The 13,365-nt window shown below is 41.7% G+C and overlaps 1 protein-coding gene across 1 annotated transcript in view; it reads right to left on the bottom strand.

Moving 5' to 3' along the window:
* The window catches only part of SEPTIN14 (septin 14), a 69,213-nt gene that overhangs the window by 40,523 nt on the left and 15,325 nt on the right, over positions 1-13,365 (bottom strand). The window contains exons 3-6 of the mRNA NM_207366.3: positions 12,455-12,575; positions 10,461-10,656; positions 8,880-9,066; positions 363-524 (exon numbers count right to left, since the gene is read on the bottom strand). Of these exons, the coding sequence (NP_997249.2) occupies positions 363-524; positions 8,880-9,066; positions 10,461-10,656; positions 12,455-12,575 (666 nt within the window). The remainder of the gene's footprint in view (positions 1-362; positions 525-8,879; positions 9,067-10,460; positions 10,657-12,454; positions 12,576-13,365) is intronic.

Here is a 13,365-nt window from a genome sequence, read left to right on the forward strand (position 1 = left end):
AAAATATAGCCTAGGACCAGATTACTTCATGGGTAAATTCTACCAAACTTTCAAAGAAAATTTAATATAAAACATCCTCAAATTCTTTGAAAAAATAGAAAAAAGAGGTAACACCTTCAGAGTCATTTTATGAGGCAGCATCCCCTTGATATCAAAGCAAGAAAACACACTTTCAAGAAGAAAATTATAGGCCAATATCCTTGAGGAACATGCTGTATGAATTAAATCTAAATAAATCTGTTTACAAAGAATCGATTCTCAGCAGAAGCTTTACAAAATTAAAAAAATTAAAAATTCTCACACTGGATTCTGGATAAACACTCATTTCTAGCCTCTTTGTCAGATATGTTACTGAAACTTACACTAACTGAGGAGTTCGCTTGAGCAGCAGTTTCTTCATCTGTTGGGAGCTGATATATCTGGATGCCATTGCTAATCAATTCACTCATTATCTTATTCTTAAACGTCTGTAAATCATTTTTAGAAATAGTGTCTGCTTTGGCAATCAGTGGTATAATATTCACCTATGAAGAAAGAAGACAAACAAAATCTCATCATTGTTCATCTCACAGTTTTTTTGTTTTTTGTTTTTTGTTTTGAGACGGAGTCTCGCTTTGTCGCCCAGGCTGGAGTGCAGGGGCACGATCTCGGCTCACTGCAAGCTCCGCCTCCTGGGTTCACGCCACTCTCCTGCCTCAGCCTCCCGAGTAGCTGGGACCACAGGCACCCGCCACCACGCCCGGCTAATTTCTTTTTGTGTTTTTAGTAAAGACGGGGTTTCACCGTGTTAGCCAGGATGGTCTCAATCTCCTGACCTCGTGATCCGCCTGCCCCGGCCTCCCAAAGTGCTGGGATTACAGGCGTGAGCCACTGCGCCCAGCCATCCTATAGTTTTTATAGTAAAGCCTTCACAATCTCTGACAACAAATTGCATAACTAGGTAATCACTGGCTGTCATGCTTTTCTTAAAAATTATTTTCCAAAATTATCAATACTTTTGAAGATTGATCTTTTATCCAAATTCAGGTTTAGAAGTCTCAACCTTGTTTCTCTTCTAAAAATCCCTTATACCTCTACACATATGGAGTTAGTAAAATGTAAATAGTAGGACAATGTAAATTATTTTATTTATTTATTTATTTATTTATTTATTTTTCAGACAGAGTCTGGCTCTGTTGCCCAGGCTCTGGAGTGCAGTAGCGCGATCTTGGCTCACTGCAAGCTCCGCCTCCCAGGTTCATGCCATTCTCCTGCCTCAGCCTCCCGAGTAGCTGGGACTACAGGCGCCCACCACCATGCCCGGCTACTTTTTGGTATTTTTAGTAGAGACGGGGTTTCACCGTGTTAGCCAGGATATTCTCGATCTCCTGACCTCGTGATCCGCTCGCCTCAGCCTCCCAAAGTGCTGGGATTACAGGCCTGAGCCACCGTGCCTGGTCTATTTAATTTATTTTCAATTTTATTTCTTATTAAGCTGAGTGATAAAAGACAAATTCAAAGAACTTTCCTCAAAATTGTGGAAGGGATTTTGTCCTTCTACTTTTTACATCACTTTTTCCATCAATCAATCTTAATTAATGTCCCATTTTCACTCTCTTGCCCCGCCTAGATGTGTTTGCAGATAGATTTGCTATTGTTTTTCAAAGACCACCTAAAAAGAATATAGATGTTTTTGATTACCATATTCTTTCTTTTTTTGAGGCGGAATCTTGCTCTGTCGCCCAGGCTGGAGTGCAATGGCGCAATCTAGGCTCAGGGCAACGTCTGCCTCCCGGGTTCAAGCAAGTCTCCTGCTTCAGCCTCCTGAGTAGCTGGGATTACAGGTGCCCGCCACCATACCCGGTTGATTTTTGCATTTTTAGTAGAGACAGGGTTTCACCATGTTGGCCAGGCTAGTCTCGAACTCCTGACCTCAGGATACAACCACTTCAGCCTCCCAAAGTGTTGGGATTATAGGCATGAGCCACCACACCTGGCCTGGTTACCATATTCTAAAGGCCGTGTGTGTATGTATGTGTGTGTGTGCGCGTGTGTGTGTATAAGAACACCTTGCAAACAAATATGTTCATTTTTCTTTTGTAAAAAGACATAATTTCCACATTGAAAGTTAAATATTTGCATATTTGAGGTTGAATTTTTACCCACAAAGTTTTTTCCTAGTGCTTCAATATGAGCACTCCTGCCTTTTGCATTTGCACTTAAATAACTAAACTTTTTAGGAAATAACAATATACAAAATTATATAATGTTTTATTACTGTTAAAATATCTTATTAAATTATAGCTCCACAAAATCAATATCTGTAATATAGTAGAAATACATAAATATAAATTTTAGGCAGACTGCTTTTGTTTTAGATTGCTCAAAACACGTTTTTTAAAAAATCCATGGACAGACCGGGCGCAGTGGCTCACGCCTGTAATCCCAGCACTTTGGGAGGCCAAGACTGGCAGATCACCTGGGGCCAGGAGTTCAAGACCAGCCTGACCAACATGAACAAACCCCGTCTCTACTAAAAATGCAAAATTAGCCAGGCGTGTTGGCTCATGCCTGTAATCCCAGCTACTCAGGAGGCTGAGGCAGGAGAATCGCTTGAACCCAGGAGGCAGAGGTTGCAGTGAGCCGAGATTGCGCCATTGCACTCCAGCCTGGGCAACAAGAGCGAAACTCCGTCTCAACAACAACAACAACAACAAAAAGAGTGTATATTCCTGACTATTGAAGGTACTACTAATTAAGAACTTGAAGCAGCTCTTAATTTAACTAGAAATCTAATTTATTTCAACTACTTAATGACATCTGAGATTAAGTACAAAGTCTCTTTTCAGTTTGAACAATATATAGTAAAAGTTGAGATTCCTCGGATAAAAGGAACCCAACTTAGAACTTTTTCTCTCTTCAACTAAATAAAGATGTCTTCAACTAATTTAAGTTGAAGACAGCATGTTTTGTTAGGGCTGAGTGCAGAAAAGAATCTGATAATATGACAATTTCCTTTATATGTATATTGCTTTTCTATATTTAAAAAAGAAAATATACTTTTAACCTTTTTTTTTTTTTTGAGAGAGAGAGAGAGAGGGTCTTGATCTGTGGCCCTGTCTGCAGTGCGGTGGCATGATCACAGCTCACTGCAGCCTCAACCTCCCGGGCTGAAGCGATCCTCCCACCTCAGCCTCCTGAGTAGCTGGAACTACAGGCACGTGCTGCCATGCCTGGCTATTTTTTTGTATTTTTTGTAGAGACAGGGTCTCACTATGTTGTTCTAGCTGGTCTCAAACTTCCAGGCTCAGGCAATCCTCCCTCCTCAGCCTCCCAAAGTGCTGGGATTACAGGCGTGAGCCACCATGTCTGGCCCTTCTAAATTTTTTATGAAAAATGATTTTAGACTTATGGAAGAGTTGCATGAATATTACAGAGAAAGAAATTGAGGCATCATAATTTTCCCAAAGCCACACAGTGAGCAAGTAACAGGGTCAGGTTTGTGAAAGCAGGCAGCTTGAACCCACTACCCATGCTTTTTTATTTATTTTTTTTTTTGGAGACAGAGTTTCACTCTTGTTGCCCAGGCTGAAGTGCAATGGCGTGATCTCGGCTCACCGCAACCTCTGCCTGCGGGTTCAAGCAATTATCCTGCCTCAGCCTCCCGAGTAGCTGGGATTACAGGCATGTGCCACCACGCCCAGCTAATTTTGTATTTTTTAGTAGAGACAGGGTTTCACCATGTTGGTCAGGCTGTTCTCAAACTCCTGACCTCAGGTGATCTACCTGTCTCGGCCTCCCAGAGTGCCGGGATTACAGGGTGAGCCCTGGCTCCCAGCCCTCCCCATGTTTTTAATCACAGAAAGCGCTAGACATTTTTCCCAAGGTCACAGACACCTAGCAAGTGATAAAGCAAATATTCAAAAGCTGCTTCCACTGACAAGTCCTGTGACCTTTACATATTCAAAAATTAAAATTCCTTCTGTATGGATAAATCTGAGCTTCATAAACATTCAACGGACTGATTTTCTGTACAATAAAACCAAACTACAAAAAACTGCTGAATAATTAGAAAAATTAATCAAATGAACAGAGTCTCATATCGATTTTGAGATTTTGCTGAAGCCATGGGGCTTAAGCAGCCTATTGAAAGGAAGTCCTCGTGTGTCCCAGGTTTTTGCTGGAAAGAATTATGCTTTTCTTAGCTGTTTCTATATAACAAGCAGTAGCTGCCTGCAGGCTCTTGTATCTGAATCCTGTCTGATATGATCTGTAACCAGGATCACAAAAGCTTTCTGTTTCACACCATCAGTGGTACTAGTCAAACATCAGTGGGATTATTTCACAGTATCATATAGTAAATTTTATTTTAAAAATACAGGCATCCCCCATTTTCCACAGTTTCTCTTTCTTCCTTTTCTTTCCTTCTTTTTTACTTCCTTCCCTCCTTCTTTCTTTTCTTCCTTCCCTCCCTCCCTCCCTCCCCCCTCCCTTCCTCCCTCCCTTCCTTCCTTTCTTTCTTTCTCTCTTTCTCTCTTTCGCTCTCTTTTCTTTCAACGGGGACTTGCTCTATTGCCCAGGCTGGAATTGCAGTGACATGATCTTGGCTCACAGCAGCCTGGAACTCCTGGGCTCAAGCAATCCCACAGGTGCACACCACCATGCCTGGCTAATTTTTCTATTTTTTTGTAGAGATGGGGTCTCACTACATTGCCCAGGCTGGTCTTGAGCTCCTGAGCTCAAGCGATGCTCCTGCGTTAGCCTCCCAAAGTGCTGAGATTACAGGCTTGAGCCACAGAGCCCAGCCCAGTTTCACTTTCCACAATTTCCCGTAATCAACAGCAGTCCAAATATATTAAATGAAAAATTCTAGAAATACACAATGTAGAAGTTTTAAATTGCATGCAATTCTAAATACTGTGATGAAATGTCATGTTGACCCACTCCTTCTCACCCTGGATATGAATTATCTCACTATTCACCTCATTTTATCTCAACATGTAGGCATTGTATTATCTCACATCATCATAAGAAGAGTGAGTACAGTATAATAAGATATTTTGAGGCCAGGCGTGGTGGCTCACACTTGTAATCCCAGCACTTTGGGAGGCTGAGGCAGGCGGATCACCTGAGGTTAGGAGTTTGAGAACAGCCTGGCCAACATGGGGAAACCCCATCTCTACTAAAAGTACAAAAAATTAGCCGGGCGTGGTAGCGGGCACCTGTGATCCCAGCTACTCGGGAGGCTGAGGCAGGAGAATCACTTGAACCCGAGAGGCAGAGGTTGCAGTGAGCCGAGATTGTGCCACTGCACTCCAGCCTGGACAACAAGAGCAAAACTCCGTCTCAGAAAAAAAAAAAAAAAAAAGATATTTTGAGAGACGCAGGTAACTTTCACATAACTTTTAGTACAGTGTATTGTTATAATTGTTCTATTTTATTATTAGTTACTATTGTTAGCTTCGGTCTGCATCTAAGAAACTAACAATAATAACTAATAATAAAAGAGAACTGCATCTCATTTATAAATAAATCTTTATGATAGGTATGTATGCATAGAAAAAAACAGTATATATCAGGCTCTGTACCATGCATGCTTTCAGGCGTCCACTGGGGATCTTGTAACTTACTCCCAAGGGTGCTACTCTATAGGCAAATGGCCATGATCTGGGAGGTAAGTCAAGGTTGAAATCTATCAAATGTGAGTTGTCTCCCCCAGCAACCAAAAAATTTGTATGTTGAAGCCTCAACCCCCCAGTACCTCAGAATGTGACCTCAACTGAGATAAAGCCTTCAAAGAGGTGATTAAAAAGTGAGACTGGGTCAGGTGCGATGGCTCACGCCTGTAATCCCAGCACTTTGGGAGGCCGAGGTGGGCAGATCACCTGAGATTAGGAGTTCGAGACCAGCCTGGCCAACATGGTGAAACCTTGTCTCTACTAAAAATACAAAAATTAGCTGGGTGTAGTGGTGCATGCCTGTAATCCCAGCTACCCAGGAGGCTGAGGCAGGAGAATCCCTTGAACCTGGGAGACGGAGGTTGCAGTGAGCCAAGATCACACCACGGCACTCCAGCCTGGGCATTAAAAAAAAAAAAAAAGTGAGACTGTTACAGTGGGGCCCAACCTAAACTGACTGGCACCCTTATAAGAAGATAAAATGTGAGGCCGGGCACAGTGACTCACGCCTGTAATCCCAACACTTTGGGAGGCCGAGGTGGGTGGATCACCTGAGGTCAAGAGTTCAAGACCAGCCTGGCCAACATGGTGAAACTCATCTCTACTAAAAATACAAAAAATTAGCCGGGTGTGGTGGTGGGCGCCTGTAATCCCAGCTACTCAGGAGGCTAAGATAGGAGAACTGCTTGAACCCAGGAGGCAGAGGCTACAGTGAGCTGAGATTGCACCACTGTACTCCAGCCTGGGCAACAAAAGCGAAACTCCGTCTCGAAAAAAAAAGACAAAATGTGGACACCCCGGAGACACTAGGAAAAACACCATGTGAGAACACAGAGATAAGGTGGTCATCTGCCAGACAAGGACAGAGATTTCAGAAGAAAGCACATCTTCTGACACCTTGATCTTGGACTTCTGTCCTCCAAGACTGTAGGAAAATACATTTTCATTGTTTAAACCACCCAGTCTATGGCATTTTGATATCCCAGCCCTAACACACTGATGCAAATGCCTCAAATATTAACAGAAAAAGATAATTAGGATATATACATATATTACAAAATGACAGGTACAGTCGTGCACCACATAATGGCATTTCAGTAAATGATGGGCCACACATATGATGTTGTTCCCATAATATTATAATACTGTACCTTTGCTTTTTGTTGTTGTTATTATTTATTTATTATTTATTTATTTATTTACTGACTCTTGCTCTGTCGCCCAGGCTGGAGTGCAGTGGCGCAATCTCGGCTCACTGCAACCTCCGCCTCCCTGGTTCAAGCGATTCTCCTGCCTCAGTCTCATGAGCAGCTGGGATTACAGGCGCCTGCTACAACGCCCAGCTAATTTGCTAATTTTCTGTATTTTTAGTAGAGACAGGGTTTCATGATATTGGCCAGGCTGGTCTTGAACTCCTGATCTCAGGTGATCTGCCCACCTCAGCCTCCCAAAGTGACGGGATTACAGGCGTGAGCCTCCGCACCTGGCTATTTAGAGATCTATTTATTGAATTTCTGGATTCAGGGGATATATGTGCAGGTTTGTTACTTACATATATTGAATATTAGTGAGGTTTTGGTCTCTCGTGTGCCCATCACCCAAATAGTGAGCATTGTACCCAATAGGTAATTTTTCAAATCTCAACCTCCTCCCACCCTTCCCCTTTATAAAGGGCCCAGCGTCTATTATTTGTCTAATACTGAAACTTTTTTTATGTTTAGATACACAGACAAGGCTGGGCGCAGTGGTTCACGCTTTGGGAGGCTGAGGCGGGCAGATCACTCGAGGTCAGGAGTTCAAGACCAGCCTGGCCAACATGGCAAGACTCCGTCTCTATTAAAAATACAAAAATTAGGCCGAGCACAGTGGCTCACGCCTGTAATCTCAGCATTTTGAGAGGCTGAGGTGGGTGGATCACCCGAGGTCGGGAGTTCGAGACCAGCTTGACCAACATGGAGAAACCCCATCTCCACTAAAAATACAAAATTAGCCAGGCATGGTGGCACATGCCTGTAATCTCATCTACTCAGAAGGCTGAGGCAGGAGAATCGCTTGAACCCAGGAGGTGGAGGTTGCAGTGAGCCCAGATCACGCCATTGCACTCTGGCCTGGGCAACAAGAATGAAACTCCGCCAAAAAAAAAAAAAAAAAAAAAAATTAGCCGGGCATGGTGGCACAGGCCTGTCAGGCCTATAGTCCCAGCTACTTGGGAGGCTGAGGCCAGAGAATCACTTGAACCCAGGAGGCAGAGGTTGCAGTGAGCCAAGATTGTGCCACTGCACTCCAGCCTGGGAGACAGTAAGACTCCATCTCAAAATAAAATAAAATAAAATAGATACACAGATACTTACCATTGTGTTATAATTCTACAGTATTCCGTACAGTACCATGCTGTCCAGGTTTGTAGCCTAGGAGCAATAGGCCATACCATAAAAGGCTATAGCCTAGATGTGTAGTAGGCTATATCATGTAGGTATGTGTAGATACACTCTAAGATGTTTGCATAATGATGAAATCACCTAAAGATATGTAACTACACTTGCATGCAAGTGCCTTCAAGATGTCTTATTATCTCAAAATTAATATTACATCATGAAAGGTTGAGACCAGGAACAATGGCTCATGCCTGTAATCCCAACAACTCTGGGAGGGCAAGGTGGGTGGATCACTTGAGCCAGAAGTTCAAGTTCAGCCTGGGCAACATAGTGACACCCTGTCTCTACAAAAAATACAAAAATTAGCCAATCTTGGTAGCACACTCCTGTCCCAGTTGCTCGGATGGCTAAGGTGGGAAGATTGCTTGAGCCCAGGAGGTTGAGGCTGCAGTGAGCTATGATGACGCCACTGCACTCTAGCCTGGGTGACAGAGCAAGACCCTGCCTCAAATACAAAAAAAAAAAAAGAAAAAGAAGGCTGGGCACGGTGGCTCACACCTGTAATCCCAGCACTCTGGGAGGCCAAGGCGGGAGGATCACGAGGTCAGGAGATCGAGACCATCCTGGCTAACATGGTGAAACCCCATCTCTACTAAAAATACAAAAAAATTAGCCGGGCGTGGTGGCAGGTGCCTGTAGTCCCAGCTACTCGGGAGGCTGAAGCTGGAGAATGGCGTGAACCTGGGAGGCGGAGCTTGCGGTGAGATCGCACCACTGCACTCCAGCCTGGGCGACAGAGGGAGACTCCGTCTCAAAAAAAAAAAGATGGTAGATTTACCAAACATACCTTACTGTCAAGGTTCTTCATTGTTAATAGATCAAGAGACTTCAGGGAATGTCCTGTAGGTGAAATGAAGTAAAGACACACGTGGACGCGAGAATCATGGTACTCAAACAAGGAACGTTTAATCTTCAGTTCTTCTTGAAGATAGGCCTCAAATTGGGCATCTATGTAGTCAACTATTGGTTGGTAGCTAAAAAAAAATTTATACATTTAGCATAACAGACTAATAAAATCTAAAGCCTGCTTTTTGACCACTTAATGAGCAGTTAACATGTATGTAAGCAGTTTGCTATAGTGATGAAGAAAAAGTTCATAACATGTCCATACAAAGATATTAATTCTAAACCAATAATAAGGCTCATGCTTTACTCTATGGTTATGTAAAATGTAAACATAGAGGAAAGCTGGGTGCATCCGACAGGGGACTAGTATCCAGAATATACAAAGAATGCAAGCAACTAAACAACAACAACAAGAAGAACAAATAATCCCATTAAAAAGTGGGCAAAGGACATGAATAGACATTTTTCAGAACACCAAAATACAAGGCAAAACCACAATGAGATATCATCTTATCTCAGTCAGAATGGCTATTGTTAAAAAGATAAAAAATGGCCGGGCGCGGTGGCTCACGCCTGTAATCACAGCACTTTGGGAGGCCAAGGTGGGTGGATCACGAGGTCAGGAGTTCAAGACCATCCTGGCTAACACGGTGAAACCCTGTCTCTGCTAAAAATACAAAAATTATCTGGGTGTGGTGGCAGGCGCCTGTAGTCCCAGGTACTCAGGAGGCTGAGGTAGGAGAATAGCATGAACCCAGGAGACAAAGCTTACAGTGAGCCGAGATCGCGCCACTGCGCTCTAGCCTGGGCAACAGAGCAAGACTCCATCTCAAAAAAAGACAAAAAATAACAGGCCAAGTAGAGTGGCTCATGTCTATAATCCCAGCACTTTGGAAGGCCAAGGTAGGAGGATCACTTGAGGCCAGGAGTTTGACACCAGCCTGGGCAACATAGCAAGACCCCATCTATACAAACAATTTTTAAAATTAGCCAGGCATGGTGGCATGTGCCTGTAGTCTCAGTTACTCAAGAGGCTGAGGTGGAAGGATTCACTTGAGCCTGGGAGGTCGAAGCTGCAGTGAGCCAAGCTTGTGCCACTGCACTCCAGCCTGGGTGATGGAATGAAAAACTGTCTCAAAAAATAATAATAAAAATAATTAAATAACATAATTTGGCAAGGGTACACAGAAATGGGAACCCTTAGACACTGTTGGTGGGAATGTAAATTAGTACAACGTCTACGGAAAATTTGTACAAATAAAGTTAAATAAAGAAATAAGGAAATAAGCTAAAACTAATAGAAGCTATATTTAAAATTTTTTGCTATAACTGGCTAAATAAAAATCTTGTAAGAAAGTCAATTATATACAAAAGTATTAATCTTATAAGAAAAGAACATTACTTAGGAAAATATTAAAATCTGGAAGAAAAGGTATTACTTACACAAATTAGTCTATGGCAAAGGAAGTCAAATTCCTTGAAATAAGAAAACCTTTTTTAATTTAAATAAGAAAACACTCACCTGGCTTCTTTGTCTATTTGATCACCATACCCTACTGTCTCCACAACAGTCAATTTCAACTGAACATTGCTTTCCTGAAGTTCATATGTCTGAATTTGAAGTCCAACATTTGAGTAAAAATGTGAGGATTTGTTATCTTTCAAGTTAGTATTAAACAATGTGTCTATCAGTGTCGATTTTCCAATTCCAGTCTCCCCTGTAATAGACATAGAGTCATTGTCATAGGGACATAAAGGGGCTAAGAAAAAGCAACACTTTGAATTCCTACGGTGGTTTTTAAAATCTTAGAAAGTTGAACTCATAGAAGTAGAGAGTAGTATTCTGGCTACCAGAGGCTGGGGGAGCAGGAGAAAGGAAAGGTGGAGTAGTTGGTCAAAGGTACAAAGTTTCTTTTTTTTTTTTTACTTTTATTTTAGGTTGGGAGTACACGTGCAGGTTTGTTGTATCAGTAAACTCATGACATGAGGGTTTGTTGTACAGATTATTTCATCACCCAGGTACTAAGCATGGTAACCAATAGTTATTTTATCTGATCCTCTCCCTCCTCCAAACCTCCACCCTCAAGTAGACACCAGTGTCTGTTATTCCCCTTTTTGTGTCCATGTGTTCTCATCATTTAGCTCCCACTTACAAGTGAGAACATGGCACATGTTCTCAGCCATAAAAAAGAAGGAGATCATGTCCTTTGCAGGAACATGGATGGAGCTGGAGGCCATCATCCTTAGCAAACCATCAGAGCTCATTGTAGCGCTATTCACAGTAGCAAAGACATGGAATCAACCTAAATGTTCATCAATGGTAGACTGGATAAAGAAAATATGGTACATATACACCATGGAATACTACACAGCCATGAAAAAGAATGAGATCATGTCCTTTGCAGGAACATGGATGGAGCTAGAGGCCATCATCCTTAGCAAACAGTTTCAAACAGGAGTAGAAATAAGTTTTGAGATCTATTGCACAGCAGAGTGACTATAGTCAATGTATTGTATATTTCAAAATAATCAAGAGAGTTAATTTCAAATGTCTCATCATAAAAAAATGATAAGTAAACCGGGTAATAGATACATTAATTCACTTGATTGAATCATTCCAAATTGTAAACATATAGCAAAACCTCACATTGTATCCATACATGTAAATAACTATGATTTTTCAATTAAAAATAATATTAATTTTAAAAATAAATAAAGGGTCTCAAATACTTCAAAGACTGGGATGGCCTTGAAAATATACATGCTAGGCCGGGTGCGGTGGCTCACGCCTGTAATCCCAGCACTTTGGGAGGCTGAGGCGGGCGGATCACGAGGTCAGGAGATCGAGACCATCCTGGCTAACATGGTGAAACCCCGTCTGTACTAAAAATACAAAAAATTAGCCGGGTGTATTGGCGGGCGCCTGTAGTCCCAGTTACTTGGGAGGCTGAGGCAGGAGAATGGCATGAACCTGGGAGGCGGAGCTTGCAGTGAACCGAGATTGCACCACTGCACTCCAGCATGGGCAACAGAGCAAGACTCCGTCTCAGAAAAAAAAAAAAAAGTATATATATATATATATATATATATATGTATACATGCTAGCCCTGATTCTCTCAGTCATTAACATAATGGAAAAAGAAAGTATATACTAAGCTACATCAGACTTTTAAGAGCACAGGAATGTGTCAATTTTTAACAATCACTACAGGTCGAGTGTGGTGTCTCATGCCTGTAATCCCAGCACTTTGGGAAGCTGAGGTGGGCAGATTGCTTGAGCCCAGGCGGCTGAGGCTACAGTGAGCCATAATCACACCATTGCACTCCAGCCTGGGCAACAAAGTGAGAACCTGTCTCAAAAAATAAAAGGATTACATAATATGGCTAAGATGAGAATCACTGTAAACATGAAGATATATTTGAATTAATAGCATCAATGTTACACTGCTTAAGATAAGTTGAAATGAACATTGGGAAAAATGAAGGAATAATTCAAATGAGGTGTTTGACACTTACCCACACAGAGAATATTAAAAGTGAATCCTTGTCGGATAGATCTGCTCACCAACTGATTGGGCAAACATTCAAAACCAAAATGTCCAATCGTAGTTAAACAACGAATATTATTTTCTTTTTGCTTAAATAAAACAAAAATTTAGAGTTTTGTGTTAGAATAAAAAATGAAGTCATTTGAAAGGAAAATGATTATAGTACATCAAATAAATTAGAATTGATTATCATTTGCTTATCATACCTCAGACAAGATGCAAATATATTAAGTAAATTTGTGAAAATAGAAGTCTGTGTTCAAACACATAGATTTGGCTATTATTTTTATAAATAAAGTGAATCTATCTCTCAGCACACTCAAAGAGGCTCTGTTTCTAAATTTTAAAAGAGACAGGGGACAGGCACGGTGGCTCATGCCTGTAATCCCAGCACTTTGGGAGGCTGAGGCAGGCGGATCATGAGGTCAGGAGTTCGAGACCAGCCTGGCCAACATTGTGAAACCCCATCTCTACTAAAAATACAAAATTAGCCGGGCATGCTTGTACTAAAAATACAAAATTGGTGGTGCATGCTTGTAATCCCAGTTACTCAGGAGGCTGAGGCAGGAGAATCACTTCAACCCGGGAGGGGGAGGTTGCAGTGAGGCAAGAGCACACCACTGCACTCCAGCCTGGGTGACAGAGTGAAACTCTGTCTCAAAAAATTAATTAATTAATTAAATAGGGAATTAAGGAAATACTACAAGAAACTCTAATGTATTACTGTAACATAATAAATTATTTCTTCCATAAGAAAAAAGAAAAAAACTTTAACATCCTTTCATTCTGCTGCAGCGTATTAATATATTGAGAAAATCCCACACATGTTAATCCAGATGCTTCTCAACTTATGATGAGGCTATGTCCCAAGAAACCCCT

The sequence above is a fragment of the Homo sapiens genome, chromosome 7, assembly GCF_000001405.40.
Source record: "Homo sapiens chromosome 7, GRCh38.p14 Primary Assembly".
Classification (NCBI taxonomy): Eukaryota; Metazoa; Chordata; class Mammalia; order Primates; family Hominidae; genus Homo; species Homo sapiens.